A 20,635-nucleotide genomic window follows, 5' to 3' on the forward strand; every position below is an offset into this window, starting at 1 on the left:
CAGAACAGCGGATTTTTGTGAACCGCGAATGCTGCTGTCTGATCGTTCCTCTGGAAGTTTTGTCTCAGAGGAGTACCCGGCCGTGTAAGGTGTCAGTCTGCCCCTACTGGGGGGTGCCTCCCAGTTAGGCTGCTTGGGGGTCAGGGGTCAGAGGGGTCACTTGAGGAGGCAGTCTGTCCATTCTCAGATCTCCAGCTGCGTGCTGGGAGAACCACTGCTCTCTTCAAAGCTGTCAGACAGGGACATTGAAGTCTGCAGAGGTTACTGCTGTCTTTTTGTTTGTCTGTGCCCTGCCCCCAGAGATGGAGCCTACAAAGGCAGGCAGGCCTCCTTGAGCTGTGGTGGGCTCCACCCAGTTTGAGCTTCCCAGCTGCTTTGTTTACCTAAGCAAGCCTGGGCAATGGCGGGCGCCCCTCCCCCAGCCTCGCTGCTGCCTTGCGGTTTGATCTCAGACTGCTGTGCTAGCAATCAGTGAGACTCCGTGGGCGTAGGACCCTCTGAGCCAGGTGTGGGATATAATCTCCTGGTGCGCTGTTTTTTAAGCCCGTCGGAAAAGCGCAGTATTCGGGTGGAAGTGACCCGATTTTCCAGGTGCTGTCTGTCACCCCTTTCCTTGACCAGGAAAGAGAACTCCCTGACCCCTTGCACTTCCCGAGTGAGGCAATGCCTCGCCCTGTTTCGGCTCGTGCACAGTGCGCTGCACCCAGTGTCCTGCACCCACTGTCTGGCACTCCCTAGTGAGATGAACCTGGTACCTCAGATGGAAATGCAGAAATCACCCGTCTTCTGCATCGCTCACGCTGGGAGCTGTAGACTGGAGCTGTTCCTATTCGGCCATCTTGGCTCCTCCCCCCCGTTTGGTTCTTTTATATGATATCTCTTTGTTGATTTTTTTCATTCAGATCATGGATTGTTTTCCTGATTTCATTGAATTGTTTGTCTGTGTTCTCTTGTATCCCACTGATCTTCCTTAAGATCAATATTTTTAAATTTCTTTTCAGGTATTTTGTAAATTCCTCTTTCTTTGTGGCCTCTTACTGGACATTTATTGTGGTGTCATATTCTCTTGCTTTTTCATGTTTCTTATGTCCCTACATTGATATCAGCACATCTAGCGAAATGAGCTTCTATCTCAAGTTCCTCATCTACCCAGTGAGCTACCAGATTGACTCTTCCAGCTCATTTAGTTGCCAGAGCTGAAGAACCCAGCAGAAGGCAGATCTTCTCTCCAGCCTAGAACTCAGTCCTAGAGGGGACAGGAAGGGCCCCTGGCTCATGAGCTTCCTACCCAGGAGTTTCTGGGGACAGGACCTCACTCCTTCTGGAAATGGCATTTTCACATCAAGTCCTATGTTCTCTCCTTGAAGTTTTCCCTCAGGAAGCCATAGGCATGCCTATCCTTTATGCTGGGCTTCTGGAAGACTCTCCCCTGGAGTTTCACCTGCTACAAATCTTCAGACTCTGTTATCCAAAGCCCAGAGACTGCTGGCTATGGTGGGCTTGTGGTTCTACCACCAATTTTCTATACCAGGAGAGTCAACCTTGCAGTCCTAAGTGGCACAGACCTGAGGCAGGAGCCTGTAGACCCTGGTCCAACAGGGGTCTTTCAATGGCACTGGGGAAGAGCTGTCAAGAACCCCACCTCTGCTTTGTCCCAATTCTAAGAACCTGGAAAGAAAGCCAGAGCAAATAATTAATGTTTAACATTTCAATATATTTGGGATACTAATGGATCCCTTTGAAGATTAATAAAAGCCAGGAACTCTCATTCTAGTAACACACACACAAGCATGCATACACACACATGTTTACATACAATTTTTGTGCATTCATAGCTTCAGTTCAGTGATTCTTCTGTGACCTCACACTGCCTTTCCCTGAGTGGTAGAAGTGTAGGGATGGAGATTTGTTGATCTGATTTTAAGTAGATGCTACCCTAGGGGGTTGGTAAGTCTTATTAAATTGTACATGTATACACTTTACATATATGTACTTAAAAGGCCTATCTGTGAGGAATATTTAAAACAACTAAAAGGGTAAAATCATTCCATTGTAGAAACCAACAGTTGACACCAATTATTTGCAAATCTGTATAGGTCAGAGATTTACTTTGGACAGCTGAGAAAACTGGTGAACTTTGATCTTCTTTTTCCATGGACCCTGAGGACATTAAACAAGGGAGTTTGCTCTGGAGGCAGTAGAAGGATCAGTGATCAGTTTACTTTGGCCCTAGGAGCACTGGACTCTGTTCAGCTTAACCAGCTGAACAGAGCTGATTCAGCTCATGGGCCTATCTGAAGGTCTTGGGACTTGACCTGTCTTGGTGAAGGAGCAATGGGAAGTACAATCCTTAAATAATGTTGGAAGAAATTGTGAATAACACTTTTCAAGAAAGTGTGTTACAGGACAGTGGGGACAGCTCAGGCTATTGAGTTCATAGTCCTAGATTCTAGCTTTCCATCTTGCTGGACAGCCTACCAGTTATGTCCTCCAGCTGAGCTCAGCTTTTGTCTCTGTAAAACCACTTCTCTATACTAAATGGTCTCTCAGGGTGTATTTTGCCAAAGGTCCCAGCAGCAATGGAGGGAGACATAAAGCAGTCACACAGAATAACTTCATTAGTTCACTGAGTGTGTATTTGGTATGTAGTCTATGTTGGGTGTTCTGTAATAATGATAGTTGTCATCACCATCTATTGGTGTCATTACCATCTATTGGTCAGACAGAGCAAGCAATCTAATAGCAATGTGAGCAATCTTCAGAATGACAAGGTAGACATTTGTACTCCTATTACTAATGAGAAAACAGAGCCTCAGAGTAGTTAAGTAACTTGTCCGGTATGATGCAGCTACTCAGTGGTCTAACATCCAAACCCAAGAGTCTTTGACTCCAATCCCATGCCCATTTTATTACTGTACGGATTGCATGTGACAATACTCAGTGAATGAATGGACAGGTGACTGTTAATAGAAGGTGGGCATAGGGAACTAGTATACAGAGAAAAAGTCCTGCTAGGATCTGTCTGCTCTGTTCTCTGTGATGGACTTCCTAGGACTTAGTGGTCAGCATCCTTGCAGGGTCCTTGATGTAGTGGGACCTGAGGGGCTGGGCTCAGGAGCTGTGCACATGGGACTTAGAAGGGGAAGATATTGGTCAGGATATAAATAAAAATTAGAGGAAAAATGCTAAGGTGCTGGATACTGTACTAGGTGATTTACAGTAATTACTAATTTAGATCTCACAATAACTCTATGAAGCAGGCATTATTGAGAGGTGAAGCTGGCTGGGCTTCTGGGTCGGGTGGGGACTTGGAGAACTTTTCTGTCTAGCTAAAGGATCATAAATGCACCAATCAGTGCTCTGTGTCTAGCTAAAGGTTTGTAAATGCACCAATCAGCATGCTGTCAAAACGGACCAATCAGCACTCTGTAAAACGGACCAATCAGCACTCTATAAAATGGACCAATCAGCTCTCTGTAAAATGGACCAATCAGCAGGATGTGGGTGGGGCCAAATAAGGGAATAAAAGTAGGCCACCAGAGCCAACAGCGGCAACCCACTCCGGTTCCTTTTCACAGTGTGGAAGTTTTATTCTTTTGCTGTTTGCAAGAAATCTTGCTGCTGCGCACTGTTTGGGTCCACACTACCTTTATGAGCTGTAACAGTCATCATGAAGGTCTGCAGCTTCATTTCTGAAGTCAGCAAGACCACCAGCACACCAGAAGGAAAAAACTCCAGACACGTCTGAACATCAGAAGGAAGAAACTCTTGACACACCGTCTTTAAGAACTGTAACACTCGCTGCAAGGGCCTGCAGCTTTGTTCTTGAACTCAGCGAGACCAATGAACCCACCAATTCCGGACACATTATGATCCTCATTTTCTAGATGGGGAATTGGGGCACTGAGAGCTTGGGTGACTTGCCTAATTCACTGTCCAACCTGAAAGTCTTGGTGTATAGAAGTGAACGACCAAGCCACTGTAGCTTTAGTGGTGTCTTCAGTCAGGGAGAACCAGGGCCAGGATCTTCTCTTGTCCTAATTCGTGCAGTTATGATCTTGTCCTGTGTTTACTGAATGCCACTTCTACCAACGCTATGTTCCTGCCTTGCAGTGTGAAGATTATTTCCAAATTCAGATCTAGGAATAAACCCCACTTCTGGGGGCCCATTCATCTATCAGAATTTATTCTTTTGTTTAAAATCCAAATTATTTGACACCTGTTGTCCCAGCCCACTTTATGCCATGCTGTCAAAATTTCACAGCCTTCCTTTCCACTCCCGAGCATCTACTATCTCACCTGGGAGAGGGGCCTGTGGAGGAAGGGGCTGAAGCAGCTGCTGTGACACAGGCTGCCTATTTCACAGTTTGGGGCACAAAACTCGTGTGTCCCCATCCCTGACTACTAACCTCCTTCCCATCTTTGCCAAGCCTGCCGAGGTGTCCTGTAAATAGTGTGTCAGGGAAGGCTAGCATTCCTGCACACCTGCCTTTGATCAGGGACCTTTGTTCCTTTACACATGAGAGTTCCCAGAGTGCGCTGGGCTCCAGGGTCAGTGGCCCTTCTAGCTGTCAGCCTGGGGGGTCAAGTGGAACTGGGTGAGATTGAAAATATGGTGATGAGAAAAGGGGTTTCTTAGCCAGGTACATCTCTGTCTTAAAATGAGAACAGACAGCTCCTGGTCTGTCCCAGTTGTAGAAGAAGGACTGAGTTAAGGAGAAGGAGCCCTTGGCTTTGTAACATTGAACAATGCTGAATATCTCTGCTCCGTTATTCCTCCATTCTGCACACAATCCTATCTGCCCTTCACAGTCCTGTAGAGGAGATGATTAAAAGGCTGGCTGCTCCCTTTCTTCTTTCATTTCCCTGCCTTTCTCTTGTTTCCATTTTCTTTCCTTCCTTAAAAAACAAAAAAAAAAAAAACATGTATTTATTCTATTCTCGTTCCTTTGCTTGAGGTGGCTATGGGCAGTGGCTCCTGAGACACTGGGGTGAAGCAGGCAGTGGGAGGATCAGGAGGTTGTTTATGTACAAGAGAAATGAGCAAAGAGCTGAAAATAGTGAGCACACTGGGACTGCGGTTTCTCATGGCCAGAGAAGGGAGCTGCACATATGGGGAGGAAGACAGCTAGAATATCTGCAGTGCTGTTCAGTTGGAATTGAGGGATCAGTGTGAACTCATGGTTGTGTAAGGGTGTGGGACAGGTATAGACGTGTGTGTGTTTCTGTGTCCCCTAGCTCTGTCTGGAGAGCCTAGTATCAATGATTCTGCAACAAGAATTACCACACCTGGCACCCAGAATTTGCTTTCTAAATACCGTTCTCCACTAAAAGGTTACGTCCGTCACCTTAGAGAAGGAGATTCTAGAAATAGAGATCCCAGAGCTGGTACAGGGAAGGTACAAAGTAGGCTTGAATGTCTTGTTCTATCAGAAAGTGAAGTGCTTAAAAAATGTTGAGGCTTGTCACAGGTCTGCAGGAGCCAGCTGGAAATGCCTCCAATTGGCCACATGTGCAACAGTTTGAGCACTGAACTAGATAATGTCAGTAACTGGCTATAACCCACCAAACAAAACAGGAACTCACGAGTCCATGCAGATATAAACAAGTCATAGAAAAAACTAAACAGATGAAGAAAGGGAAGTTCTTCCTTACCTCAGAATGCTAATTAATAAGCATAGAAGAAGTGATATCTGAAAATCCTCATTTTGCAATCAATGTAGTACTAATTCATTCTGTGAATCATTAAGAACACAGCATTGTGTCTGTGATATTGCTGCCAAAAATGCACAACCTGAGTCAAATCATGTGGTGATGCCACAAAAACCCAAATGGAGAGTTTCTTAAAAAAAAAAAAAAACCTGTTAAATACAAAATCACACCATGAGAACACAGACCAGCCAAATCCAGAATGTTGGAAATTCCCAAGGACAAGTGATCCAGTTTATTTGACAAGTATGCAACATAAAATGCTGCTAATTGTTTAGAGTGAAAGAGATTTAAGAGTTAAATGTAACATGTGGATCTTCTTTGGGATCCAGTTTGAACAACCTAACACTTTTTTAGACAACAAGGGTAATTGCTATATTGACTGAGTATTAGATGATAATAAGAAAAAATTGTGCTGTTGTCCCAGCACTTTGGGATGCTGAGGCGGGTGGATCACGAGGTCAGGAGTTCAAGACCAGCTTGGTCAAGATGGTGAAACCCCGTCTCTACTAAAAATACAAAAATTAGCCAGGCGTGGTGGCAGGTGCCTGTAATCCCAGTGACTCGGGAGGCTGACACAGAGAATTGCTTGAACCTGGCAGGCAGAGGTTGCAGTGAGCCAAGATCACACCACTGCACTCTAGCCTGAGCAACTGAGCAAGACTCCATCCCAAAAAAAAAAAAAAAAGAAATAATTGTGGAAAATTCCAAAAGCCAGAACACCTCTTCTCCTCCAAAGGATTGCAACTCCTTGCCAGCCAGGAACAAAACTGGACAGAGAATGAGTTTGACGAATTGACAGAAATAGGCTTCAGAAGGTGGGTAATAACAAACCCCTCCGAGCTAAAGGAGCATGTTCTAACCCAATGCAAGGAAGCTAAAAACCTTGAAAAAAGGTTAGAGGAATTGCTAACTACAATAATCAGTTTGAAGAAGGACATAAATAAGCTGATGGAGCTGAAAAACAGCACGAGAACTTTGTGAAGCATACACAAATACCAATTGTGCCGAATTGATCAGGCAGAAGAAAGGATATCAGAGATTGAAGATCAACTTAATGAAATAAAGCATGAAGACAAGATTAGAGAAAAAAGAATGAAAAAGAACAAATAAAGCCTCCAAGAAATATGGGACTATGTGAAAAGACCAAACCTACATTTGATTTGTGTACCTGAAAGTGACAGGGAGAATGGAACCAAGCTGGAAAAGACTCTTCAGGATATTATCCAGGAGAACTTCCCCAACCTAGCAAGACAGGCCAACATTCCAATTCAGGAAATACAGAGAACATCACAAAGATACTCCTCAAAAAGACCAACCACAAGCCACATAATCGTCAGATTCACCAAGATTGAAATGAAGAAAAAATGTTAAGGGCAGCCAGAGAGAAAGGTTGGGTTACCCACAAAGGGAAGCCCATCAGACTAACAGCAGATCTCTCAGCAGAAACCCTGCAAGCCAGAAGAGAGGGGAGCCAATATTCAACATTCTTAAAGAAAGGAATTTTCAACCCAGAATTTCATATCCAGCCAAACTAAGCTTCCTAAGTGAAGGAGAAATAAAATCCTTTACAGACAAGCAACTGCTGAGAGATTTTGTCACCACCAGGCCTGCCTTACAAGAGCTTATAGAGGAAGCACTAAATATGGAAAGGAAAAACCGGTACCAGCCACTGCAAAAACATAACAAATTGTAAAGACCATCAACACTATGAAGAAACTGCATCAACTAACAGGCAAAATAACCAGCTAGCATCATAATGACAGGATCAAATTCACACATAACAATATTAACCTTAATGTAAACGGGCTAAGTGCCCCCCAGTTAAAAGACACAGACTGGCAAATTGGATAGAGTCAAGACCCATCAGTGTGCTGTATTCAGGAGACCCATCTCACGTGCAAAGACACACATAGGCTCAAAATAAAGAGATAGAAGAAGATTTACCAAGCAAATGGAAAGCCAAAAAAAAAAAAAAAAAAAAGCAGGGGTTACAATCTTAGTCTCTGATAAAACAGACTTTAAACCAACAAAGATTAAAAAAAAGACAAAGAAGAGTATTACATAATGGTAAAAAGATCAATGCAACAAGAAGAGCTAATTATCCTAAATATATATGCACCCAATACAGGAGCACCCAGATTCATAAAGCAAGTTCTTAGGGACGGACAAAGAGACTTAGACTCCCACACAATAATAGTGGGAGACTTTAACACCCCACTGTCAATATAAGGCAGATTAATGAGACAAAAAATTAACAAGGATATTCAGGACTTGAACTCAGCTCTGGACCAAGCGGACCTAATAGACATCTACAGAACTCTCCACCCCAAATCAATAGAATATACATCCTTCTCAGCACCACATCGCACTTATTCTAAAATTGAACACATAATCGAAAGTAAAACACTCCTCAGCAAATGCAAAAGAAGAGAAATCATAACAGTCTCTCAGACCACAGTGCAATCAAATTGGAACTCAGGATTAAGAAACTCACTCAAAACTGCACAACTACATGGAAACTGAGCAACCTGTTCCTGAATGACTACTGGGTAAATAACGAAATTAAGGCAGAAATAAATAAGTTCTTTGAAACCAATGAGAACAAAGACACAATGTACCAGAATCTCTGGGACACAGCTAAAGCAGGGTTTAGAGGGAAATTTATACCACTAAATGCCCACAGGAGAAAGCAGGAAAGATCTAAAATTGACACTCTAACATCACAATTAAAAGAACTAGAGAAGCAACAGCAAACACATTCAAAAGCTAGAAGAAGACAAGAAATAACTAAGATCAGAGCAGAGCTGTGGGAGGTAGAGACACACAAAAAAAAACCCTTAAAAAAATCAATGAATCCAGGAGCTGGTTTTTTGAAAAGATTAACAAAATGGACCGCTAGCCAGACTAATAAGAAAAGAGAGAAGAGTCAAATAGACACAATAAAAAATGATAAAGGGGATATCACCACTGATCCCACAGAAATACAAACAACCATCAGAGAATACTATAAACACCTCTATGAAAATAAACTAGAAAATTTAGAAGAAATGGATAAATTCCTGGACACATACACCCTCCCAAGACTAAACCAGGCAGAAGTCAAATCCTTGCATAGACCAATAACAAGTTCTGAAATAGAAGCAGTAATTAATAGCCTACCAAGAAAAAATAGCCCAGGACCAGAAAGATTCACAACTGAATTCTACCAGAGGTACAAAGAAGAGCTGGTACCATTCCTTCTGAAACTATTCCAAACCATAGAAAAAGAGGGACTCCCCCCAACTCATTTTATGAGGCCAGCATCATCCTGATACCAAAACCTGGCAGAGACACAACAAAAAAAGAAAATTTCAGGTCAATATCCCTGATGAACATCAATGAGAAAATCTTCAATAAAATACTGGCAAACTGAATCCAGCAGCACATCAAAAAGTTTATCCACCACGATCAAGTTGGCTTCATCCCTGGGATGCAAGACTGGTTCAACATACTCAAATCAATAAACATCATCCATCACATAAACAGAACCAATGACAAAAACCACATGATTATCTCAATAGATGCAGGAAAGGCCTTCAACAAAATTCAACACCCTTTCATGCTAAAAACTCGCAATAAACTAGGTATTGATGGAACATATCTCAAAATAATAAAAGCTATTTATGACAAACCTACAGCCAATATCATACTGAATAGGCAAAAGCTGGAAGCATTCCCTTTGAAAACCGGCACAAGACAAGGATGCCCTCTCTTCCCACTCCTATTCAACATAGTATTGAAAGTTCTCGTCAGGGCAATCAGGCAAGAGAAAGAAATAAAGGGTATTCAAATAGGAAGAGAGGAAGTCAAATTCTCTCTGTTTGCAGATGACGTGATTGTATATTCCGAAAACCCCATCGTCTCAGTCCAAAATCTCCTTAAGCTGATAAGCAACTTCAGCAAAGTCTCAGGATACAAAATCAATGTGCAAAAATCACAAGCATTCCTATACACCAATAACAGACAAACAGAGCACCAAATCATGAGTGGACTCCCATTCACAATTGCTACAAAGAGAATAAAATACCTAGGAATACAACTTACAAGGGATGTGAAGGACCTCTTCAAGGAGAACTACAAACCACTGCTCAACTAAATAACAGAGGACACAAACAAATGGAAAAACATTCCATGCTCATGGATAGGAAGAATCAATATTGTTAAAATGGCCATACTGCCCAAAGTAATTTACAGATTCAATGCTATCCCCATCAAGTTACCATTAACTTTCTTCACAGAATTGGAAAAAACTACTTTAAATTTCATATGGAACCAAAAAAGAGCCCGCATAGCCAAGACAATCCTAAGCCAAAAGAACAAAGCTGGAGGCATCACACTACCTGACTTCAAACTATACTACAAGGCTACAGTAACCAAAACAGCAGGGCACTGGTACCAAAACAGATATATAGACCAATGGAACAGAACAGAGGCCTCAAAAAATAACGCCACACATCTACAACCATCTGATCTTTGACAAACCTGACAAAAACAAGCAATGGGGAAAGGATTCCGCATTTAATAAATGGTGCTAGGAAAACAGGCTAGCCATATGTAGAAAACTGAAACTGGACCCCTTCCTTACACCATATACAAAAATTAACTCAAGATGGATTAAAGACTTAAACATAAGACCTAAAACCATAAAAACTCTAGAAGAAAACCTAGGCAATACCATTCAGGACATAGGCATGGGCAAAGACTTCATGTCTAAAACACCAAAAGCAATGGCGACAAAAGCCAAAATTGACAAATGGGATCTAATTAAAATAAAGAGCTTCTGCACAGCAAAAGAAGCTATCATCAGAGTGAACAGGCAACCTACAGAATGGGAGAAAATTTTTACAGTCTATCCCTCCGACAAAGGGCTAATATCCAGAATCTACAGGGAACATAAACAAATTTACAAGAAAAAAAAAACCCTATCAAAAAGTGGGCAAAGGATATGAACAACCATCAAAAAGTGGGCAAAGGATATGTCACAAAAGAAGACATTTAGGCAGCCAACAAACATAAGGGAAAAAGCTCATCATCACTGGTCATTAGAGAAATGCAAATCAAAACCACAATGAGATACCATCTCATGCCAGTTAGAATGGCAATCATTAAAAAGTCAGGAAACAACAGATGCTGGAGAGGATGTGGAGAAATAGGAATGCTTTTACACTGTTGGTGGGAGTGTAAATTAGTTCAACCTTTGTGGAAGACAGTGTGGCAATTCCTCAAGGATCTAGAACCAGAAATACCATTTGACCCAGCAATCCCATTACTGGGTATATACCCAAAGGATTATAAATCATTCTACTATAAAGATACAAGCACATGTATGTTTATTGTGGCACTATTCACAATAGCAAAGACTTGGAACCAACCCAAATGCCCATCAATGATAGACTGGATAAATAACATGTGGCACATATACACGATGGAATACTATGCAGCCATAAAAAAGGATGAGTTCATGTCCTTTGCAGGGGTGTGGATGAAGGTGAAAACCATCATTCTCAGCAAAGTAACACAGGAACAGAAAACCAAATACCACATGTTCTCACTCATAAGTGGGAGTTGAACAATGAGAATACATGGACACAGGGAGGGGAACATCACACACTGGGGCCTCTCAGGGGGTTGGGGGCTAAGGGAGGGATAGCATTAGGAGAAATACCTAATGTGGCATGATCTCAGCTCACTGCAACCTCTGCCTCCTGGGTTTAAGTGATTCTCGATTCTCATGCCTCAGCCTCCCGAGTAGGTAGGACTACAGGTACATGCTACCATGCCCGGCTAATTTTTGTATTTTTAGTATACACGGGGTTTCACCATTTTGGCCAAGCTGGTCTCGAACTCCTGACCTTAAGTGATCCTCCCGCCTTGGCTTCCCAAAATGCTGGTATTACAGGCATGAGCCACCGTGCCCAGCCTCTTTTGCATTTTCTTTTACAAACTTTAGAATTATGTTGTTAATTTACATGAAAAAACATTTGGAATTTGATTGGGAGTACATTGAATTTCTACATCAATTTAAGGAGAATTGTAATTTTTACAATATCAAGTCTTCCACTCCCTGTTCAAGATATAGTTTTCCATTTACTTTGAGTTTCTTAATTTAAAGTCTGGTACATAAAAGTTTTAGATGTCTTTTGATAGATTTAATCCTAGGCATTTGTTTTTCTTATGTTACCTTAGGTAGCATTTTTCATGTTTTTTTTTTTTTTTTTAATTTGAGTATAGAAATACAATTGACTTTGGTGTGTTTACCTACCTTGATCCAGCTCTATTTTTTTTTTTTTTTTTTTTTTTGAGACAGGGTCTCACTCTGTCACCCAGGCTGGAGTGTAGTGGCACAATCTCAGGTCACTGCAACCTCTGCCTCCCAGATTCAAGCAATTCCCCCACCTCAGCCTCCTGAGTAGCTGAGACTACAGGTGTGCACCACCACACCTAGCTAATTTCTGTATTTTTAGTAGAGAAGGGGTTTTGCTATGTTGGCCATGCTGGTCTCAAACTCCTGACCTCAGGTGATGCTGCCTGCTTCAGCCTCCCAAAGTTCTGTGATTATAGACATGAGCCACCATGCCCAGCTTTAACTCATTTATTCTAAGGTATACTCTAGTTTCTTCAGAATTTTATATACATACAATTTATTATGCATAAAGATGAGAATTTATTTTTTTCCTTTTCAATCCTTTTACTTACTATTTCTTTTTCTTGCCTGACTAAACTAGCAAGGGCCTCCCGTAAAAAGGATGACCAGAAATGATAATAGTAAACATTCTGGTCTTATTACTGATCTCAACAGAAAAGCTTTATTCAGCATGCCACATTAAGTATGATTTCTGTAGATTTTTATGGTACACTAATACTTGATATCAGACTGAGAAAGGTTTGTCGAATAAATTTGCTAAGAGGTTTTGTTATGAATGGATATTGAATTTTATGAAATGATGTTCCCATACTGAGTGATAGGGTCATACCGTTTTCCTTTATTATTCCACTAATATGATATATTACAGTGATTGATACTTGAAAAGATAGCTTACATTCCTGGAATAAACCCAATTTGGTAATTATTTATTAATCTTTTTTACATTTTGCTAGATTCTATTTGCTAATCTTTTGTGTAGAAATTTTGCATCTGAGTTCATAGAAGTTATTTTTTTATCTTTGTCATGATGTCTTTGTTAGTTTTTCCTTTCTAAGTATACATACTGTCCTCAAAACATTAGTTAAGGAGTGTTCCTACTTTTCTGTTCCTGGAGGAATATATTGGTTTAATCCTTTTTCTTTATTTAGAGACAGGGTCTCACTTTGTTGCCCAGGCTGGAATGCAGTGTTGTGATCTTGGTTCACTGCAGCCTTGAACTCCTGGGCTCAAGCAATCCTCTTACCTTAGCCTCTTGGGTAGCTGGCACTACAGGTGCATGCCACTGTGTCCAGCTGATTTAAATTTTTTGTAGAGACGAGTTCTCACTATATTGCCCAGGCTGGTCTTGAACTCGTGAGCTCAAGCAATCCTCCTGCCTCAGGCTTCCAAAGCCCTAGGATTACAGGCATGAGCCACCACCCCCACGCTGTAATTCTTAAATGTTTGATGGAATTCATTCCACCTGGCCCTGGACTATTCTTCATGAGACAGGTATTTTTGCAGACTCCCCTGTGAAAAGAATGGAAACCTTGAGAATCTTCATTGTCCAAGGACTTCTGAGAGGTAGAACAGAGATAGAGAAAGGGAAAGAGAAGGAGAGAGAGAGAGAGAAAGAGAGAGAGAGTGAGAGCGAGTGAGCAGTGGTGTCATGTGGCATTTCAAAATGCCTGGCATTTTCCTAAAAGTACCCTGCCCAGTCCCCAACCCCCTAGCCATACAGCCCGACCCAGCGGGCTTGCAGGGTGACTGATTTCGTGAATGTCGGTTCTCAGGCTGCCAGGCTGCTGCTTCTCAAGGATGACCCAGACTTAGAGAAGTCTCTGGTGTCAGGCAGAGGACACTGGGTGGGGGACAGGAGGAACTGCTCAAAACAGACAGAGGCTCTTTGTTTGCTTTGCTTCTGTGTCAACTGGGCAACATTTGGAAACAACAAATATTGGTTCAGAGGCCCACTGCTTTCTTACCCACCTCCTGCTGGTCAGCTTTTCCAGCTTTCCTGCACGTACACACAAGCGCAGCTATTTCTTTAAGGGCCAACTCGTGGTTGAAATTTGAGAGTTTTGCCCTGTTTGCGGTGAAAGATTTGGCTCATGCTTGGGTTGGTCTAGAACTGGAAGCTTCCTTTATGTCCTCTATCAATCTCTTTCTCTTTCTCTTTCTCTCTCACCTCCCTCCCTCTCTTTCCTCCCCCACTAAATAAATAAAGAGAAGGTCAATATCAAGAAGGCAGCTGTGGTCTGGAGAAGGGCAAGATTTAGGAAGTTTGAGTTCAGGTCTCAGAGCTCCATGAATAAGGACCCATCATTTGACTGTAATGACCACATGTGATAAATGGAGGTACTGATCTTATCTTGCATGGCTGCCCCAATGATCTTGCCCCAGGACAGTGCCTGACACATACAAGGGGATAAAAACATGATATTTTCTTCCAGCTGAGCATAATCAAGCCAGTCCATGTCTAAGGATCTGCAGTTGGTACTCAGACCTCTCCCAGACTGACCAGCCCCTGTGCTGGCAAAGCCCTGGGGGCTGTGTGCTTTTGGAGAAATGGCAAGGCTGGGAGTCTCATGTCTGTCCCTCTCTCGGTGTGACCCCAGATGAGCTCCTTGGCCCCTGCATGTCCTGGTTTCCTGGGAGAGGCAGTGTCCCTGGTGGATGTGTACACTCTGGAACCAGACTGCCTTCTTTTGTATTCTGACTTTGCAGCTGACCTTGAACAAGATATCATCCTCTCTTGTCCTCAGTTTCCTTGTCTCATCTGTAAGATACAGATGCTAAAGCACCAAAGTCAGAGGGGTATGGTAAGTGCTCAGTGAAGCTCCCAGTAAATCTCAGCCATCATTAAGCTATTAAAAGGGACAGTGATTCTCCAACTCCAGAACATCTCTGGTATAGAATTAAAGAATATAAATGAGAGCACAGGTACAAGTGTCATGGACATGGAGCGCTGTAATGTTAACCTCTTACCTTCACATGCTCCTATAGACATATACAGGCATAGGCACCCCATACAGCTAGGGCCATGCACACATGTACACCCCAAAGCTGGCCTCACCCCTGCCTACCCCATCCAAGGAATGGCAAGCACGAAGCTCTGCTGTTGTCCTCTTGAGCAAAAGCCAAGGCCCTGGCCTCTCCATCTAGGTGTGTGTAGATGACGTGGGAGCACCAGTTCTCTATGTCTTGTCTGAGCTTCCTTCATATCCCATGAGGCTGTATATTTCCTTCCCAGCACCTGTCTTGGGCTTGGACTCAAAGGACCCTTCTGAGGACAGGGCATAGAGCTGGCTGCTCTGGAGAGGACTCAGCCTGGCCAGTAGGTAGTTGCTCCCTGCTGAGGGGCTCTGGCTAGGCTATGGGCCTGTGGCTGGAGGACTGGCCTCAGCGGGGCTTAGTCTACGAATGTAGATGGGCTCCAGAAAAGGAGAATCACTGACCATCTTCTTTCCATGCCCTGCGTTGAGCTTCCCTGAGTTTGTGGCATGGGCTCAACCTTTCGTAACTGCACTTCCTGCTCTCTGGCAGACCCTGCAAGCTTACTACAGGGCCTGTCCATGCATCAGCTGTATGTGTGCATGCTGCTCTGCTGGGTGCCTTCCAGTTAGCCTTGCCCCTGACTTTTCCTGCTCATCTCACATCCTTACCTCAAGGTCTCCAAATGAATCCAGACCACTGCCTAGAGCCTGCTGCAGGGGCAGTAGGAATATGGCCCTCATGCTAACAGTCTTCTTTCCCTATGGCTCAAGCACAAGGGGCCCGTGGACGGGCAAGGGGGGAGTAAGACAGGGCAGCAGTGGTCACTCTCCCTCGCTGGTGAGGCTGATGTGTTGGGAAAGCCAGACTTGACTTCTGTCCTCACTGTAAACAGAAAGCTTCTGTAGTGGACTCTAAAGTGGGAGGTATGTAACCCCTTTGCATATGAGATAATCTTTTGGAGTGTGGGAGAACATAATCTAACTTCCAGTTATATTTATTGTTATTGCAAAAGATTAACAAATTATCATTCATTCATATTGAATGTGTGAATTGGCCCTATCTCCCACCTGAGTCTGCAGTCATGACAGATGGAGCCTTTCAGGTGTCCTAAGGGAAGATGGGGTTCACCTCACAATGCTAAAGGTGAAAAGGGGAGTGCCGACCCTGCCCTTTGTTTTGGCATTTTTATTTCCATACTTTGTGGTTTGTATGTGCCCAGTTAAACGGATGTACAGATTAGATAATCTGGCTTTAACTCCAACCTTCACGAGATGCACACATGCCTTAAAAAGATTCTTACAAAGAAACTAGAATTAGGAGACAATTCTGACAACACAAAAACAAGTGAACAAAAATCAAATGACTGACCTGACGTGTCCACTAGGCTTGATATGAGCTTGGTCAACTAAAACATGAGACAGAATGAATGACCATCTGGTCAGGTTGGATAAGAAGTAACTTTTGGCAAAATCTCTGAAGTCTGGATTTACACTTCGTGGAAGGAATCTTGACCTTTCCCCAAGTATATTATGCCTTGAGATAATAATCCTGTATAAGGCCGCATAAGCAAAACGACATTTGAAAATGAGTTTCATCTTTAGCTCATCCTTTTACAAATTTCTATTCCTTGTGCATGATTGAAGTGTACACATTTTTTAGTTAAAATATAAGCATATAGAAGGCACAAGTTCAATATTTTTCATGATAAGGATGTGTAATTAAACTGGTTAGGAGACTCATCGACTAGAGGGGGACATGGTGGCCCCAGGCTGTAAGAACAGGCCACACCGTCCACTGGGCCGCTTGCTTTGTGCTAAGATGACACTTTGTTCTGAGCCTCACAGTGTCTTGACCATGTTCCTGGAACCTTCTTGTTGGAGGGAGTTCATCTTCCCCTATGACTCTGTCCCTAGTCTAAGGTGTCCCACAGGAAGCTTGAGGGCGGGAAGTTTTCCAGCCCAGGAGCCTGAGCTCAGCGGGGCAGGAAGAGGGAGCAGCTCCTCCGTGGGGGACCTTTGAGAGCCCAGGAGCAGGATTTCGAGGGACACCTGGTGGGGAGCAAAAGGTGCTGAGTCTGTCTTTGACCTTGAGCCCAGCTTGTTTCTCCTGCATCCTCCCCCAAAAGGGGCTTTGCCTGTCATTCTGCAGTTCTAGTGTGGGGTCTGGGCGCAGTTCTTTTCCCTCTCCAGCCTCGGAGTCTTCCTCTGTGGACTGCGCAGATAGGACTGGTGGCACGGACCAGCTCTGCAGCCCTGGAGTCAGGAGCAGAGCCCCCCGGCTCCCAGCCCGCCGTAGCCGCTCCTGGCACCGAGCGAGCCGCGATGACAATGGCTGCATTGTGCTTCATGTCCCTTCCCATCAACATTTCTGTGCTGGACTCCTTCCACTCGCGGGTCGTCTCCAGAGCTCAGAAAATGAGGTGATCAGTGGGACGAGTAAGGAAGGGGGGTTGGGAGAGGGGCGATTGGGCAACCCGGCTGCACAAACACGGGAGGTCAAAGATTGCGCCCAGCCCGCCCAGGCCGGGAATGGAATAAAGGGACGCGGGGCGCCGGAGGCTGCACAGAAGCGAGTCCGACTGTGCTCGCTGCTCAGCGCCGCACCCGGAAGATGAGGCTCGCCGTGGGAGCCCTGCTGGTCTGCGCCGTCCTGGGTGAGTGCGGGCACGGGGTAGCACCGCAGAGTCGCTGGCCCGCGCGTTCCCTGCAACCCGGGCGGCCACCGCGCAGCCTGCATGCACTCCGCGCTCAGGCTGGAAGCCTGGGTGTCTGGGTGCCTTTCCATTGCCTCTCTACGCCCCACCCCTGGCCTTTGCTTGGGCTTCTAGACACCTTTCACTGCACTCACTGTCTTCTCCCCCTCCTCCTCTTTGTCCAGTAAATCTTGCAGCAGTGAAATACAATAAATCAGAGCACGTCTAACCAGGTTATCAAAACCCTTTGCTGCTGCCTCTTGTCAAGTCCGAACTCCTTAGCATGGCATTCAAGGCCTCCCGGGTCTGACCATTCCCCTTTCAGAGGCTGATGTCCCCTGGGTGCCCTGGGAGCTGTAGATGTCCTGCCAAGGAAGCGGTGCCATCGAGCGGTCAGAGCATGGGGTTTGAAGCCAGACTTCTTGGATCCAAGTCCTGGCCGGCTCCTCACCAGGGAGGGGGTCATCACAGCACTTGCCTGGGAGGGTCAAATGAGGGTCAGCGAGGTGGCAGATGCTGAGTACCAGTGGCAGATGTTGCACACATCCTGCTATGGGGCAGTGGCTGACGCCACACTCCCCGACCTCCTGAGGTGGGGCCCCCTTCATACTCTAACTTCTGCCTGCCATTCATGGGGCATTTGTCACACTGTTGGGGCTTCCACGTTTAGTTTTCTCTCCCCATAAGCTAGCAATTCCTTGAGAGAGGACCCCACGTTACTTGCCTTTATCCCCGCACAGAGCACTTCACAGGCTGTGCAAGGTAATGCTCCACTGAGGACACATTCTCGCCTATGGGAACTCTGGAGGCAGGGCTTTGTGGAGGGGCTGCCACAGGCTTATGTTGCCTCCTAGGATTTCCCATGGGCCAAGAGGGAAAATGGGGGTCGCTGGGGTGGCCATCCCTGGTGGCCCCTCCTCATGCATCCTGGAGAGCTGTGGGCCTCCTCTCCACAGGCTTTGTGGATCTTCTTCAGAGCCAGTGAGTCAGCCTTGCTGTGGTGGCCCACAAGGAGTGGAGATGACAGAGGGCCTTGGGGACAGGGCAAAAGCTCATGTGATAGGGATGCTGTCTCTGCAACCACATGGATTTTAATAGTTACCCATGGCTGGCTTCAGCTTTTTTTGTGAATGGCAGCCAAAAAGTGTGGTGAAAATGGAGGGATAGTTCAGTGGAGACAGAGGGGAGACTGTTGAATTTGTGGAGTTTTTAGTTCTTCCTAAACAGAGAGCAACAGACAAGAGTTACAGACAAATTAATTCTTTTCGTTAATTTACCCTCAACTACTGGCCAAGAAGGGGTGTAACTCAGAATGTTTTCTTCTTTTGTGCCCTGAGTAGCAGACCCAGAGTCTGGAGACCCAGATTCTAGGCCTGGCTTGGCCAACGACAAGCAGGGTGACCTTGGGTTAAAAAAAAAAAAAGGCATCATTCTCTGAGTCTCACTCCCTCTTCTCAAAAAGATGGCAATTCCTCCCCCGCTGGTTTTCCATAGTTGAGGTAGCAAGCCAATGTGTTGGGGTAGCTGAAAACGCCCTGTGCATACTGAGGCTTATGTTCCATGGGGGGCCAGGGGCCAGGACAGTGATGGGAGGAGACAAGGCGGATACAGAGGAGCAGATTGTCATCTCCAGCTGGGAGGTGATGGCCATGCCTGCACCCCTCTGGCCAGCAGAGGGTGGTCAGTAGGAAACTGGGAGGCCATTAGGGCAACCTTCTATTGGCTCAGACTCAGAATGCAGTAGAACTTGTGCCCTGTAGTGTTCATGGACAGGAGTGAGAGGAGGACAGGACTGAGGGGATGTGGCTGTCAAGGCCTTTCTAGGGGCGATGCTGTCTCTCCCTCAGCATAGGGAGTGGGCCCTTCCACCTCTGGCCTCTCTCCCCCAGGGCTGTGTCTGGCTGTCCCTGATAAAACTGTGAGATGGTGTGCAGTGTCGGAGCATGAGGCCACTAAGTGCCAGAGTTTCCGCGACCATATGAAAAGCGTCATTCCATCCGATGGTCCCAGTGTTGCTTGTGTGAAGAAAGCCTCCTACCTTGATTGCATCAGGGCCATTGCGGTAAGTCGCTGCTGCCTAAAAGAGAGTGGAAGAAAGCCATACTTTCTCTGTTTCCAGTCACTTTGGAACAATTCTTTACTCACAGGTAGGAGGCTGATATATGGGGCAGTCAACCTTGACTTACTAAAATCACTTCAAAAGTGGAAATGGGGAGGTTTTCTTTAATGTGTCTGGAAAGCAAAAGTCAAAAAGCACATTAACTTTTGCTTTCCAGACACAGTAGACGCAAGGGTGACTGTTTTGAGACCCTAGGTTCTCTGAACTTGGCGAAAATATAAGAATGCCTGCTATCAGGCTGGGCGCGGTGGCTCATGCCTGAAATCCTAGCACTTTGGGAGGCTGAGGCAGGTGGATCACCTGAGGTCAGGAGTTCGAGACCAGCCTGGCCAACATGGCGAAACCCCATCTCTACTAAAAAATATAAAAATTAGCTGGGCATGGTGGTGCATGCCTGTAATCCCAGCTACTTGGGAGGCTGAGGCAGGAGAATCACTTGAACCGGGGAGGCAGAGGTTGCAGTGAGCCAAGATCCTGCCACTGCACTCCAGCCTAGGTGACAGAGTGAGGCTCCATCTCAAAATAAATAAATAAATAAGAATGCCCACTATCAAAATTATTATATAACCTTCTTTGGCAGCTTTTGATACACAACTGGGAAGATGAGTGATGCATGCAGGGGGAAGAGTAAAGTGTCCTGATTGCAGGTGACAGCTGATCTTTTTGTTCTTAGGTCTACAAAAATGCTCTTCATTCTTTCAACGTTGCCCCTGCCCATCTGTACATGTCAGATCCTGTGCTGGGCAATGGGGCTGCAGTGGTGAATTAAACACATTGGTCCTTACCCTCAGGGAGCTCATGGGCTAGTCAGGAGAGCAGAAAAACACACGAATAAGTAAACTACTAATTCCAAAATGTGGGGATGTACAATGGAGGGAAAAAGGAGAGTGTTCTGACAGGGACTCACAGAAAAACCTGCTTTGTCCTGGGTGGTCAGAGACCATCTCTCTGA

General features: G+C 44.9%; 1 protein-coding gene across 3 annotated transcripts in view; it reads left to right on the forward strand.

Annotated features, from left to right (window-relative positions):
- TF (transferrin) overlaps positions 1–20,635 on the forward strand; it is a 134,644-nt gene that overhangs the window by 66,961 nt on the left and 47,048 nt on the right. Inside the window, exons 1-2 of one of the 3 annotated variants that reach the window (NM_001063.4) lie at positions 17,435–17,525; positions 19,454–19,626. In NM_001063.4, the coding sequence (NP_001054.2) occupies positions 17,483–17,525; positions 19,454–19,626 (216 nt within the window). In that variant the 5' untranslated portion in view covers positions 17,435–17,482. Of the gene's footprint in view, positions 1–17,434; positions 17,526–19,453; positions 19,627–20,635 lie in introns of those variants that run through there. The other 2 variants (NM_001354703.2, NM_001354704.2) reach the window with 2 other exon arrangements.

The sequence above is a fragment of the Homo sapiens genome, chromosome 3, assembly GCF_000001405.40.
Source record: "Homo sapiens chromosome 3, GRCh38.p14 Primary Assembly".
Classification (NCBI taxonomy): Eukaryota; Metazoa; Chordata; class Mammalia; order Primates; family Hominidae; genus Homo; species Homo sapiens.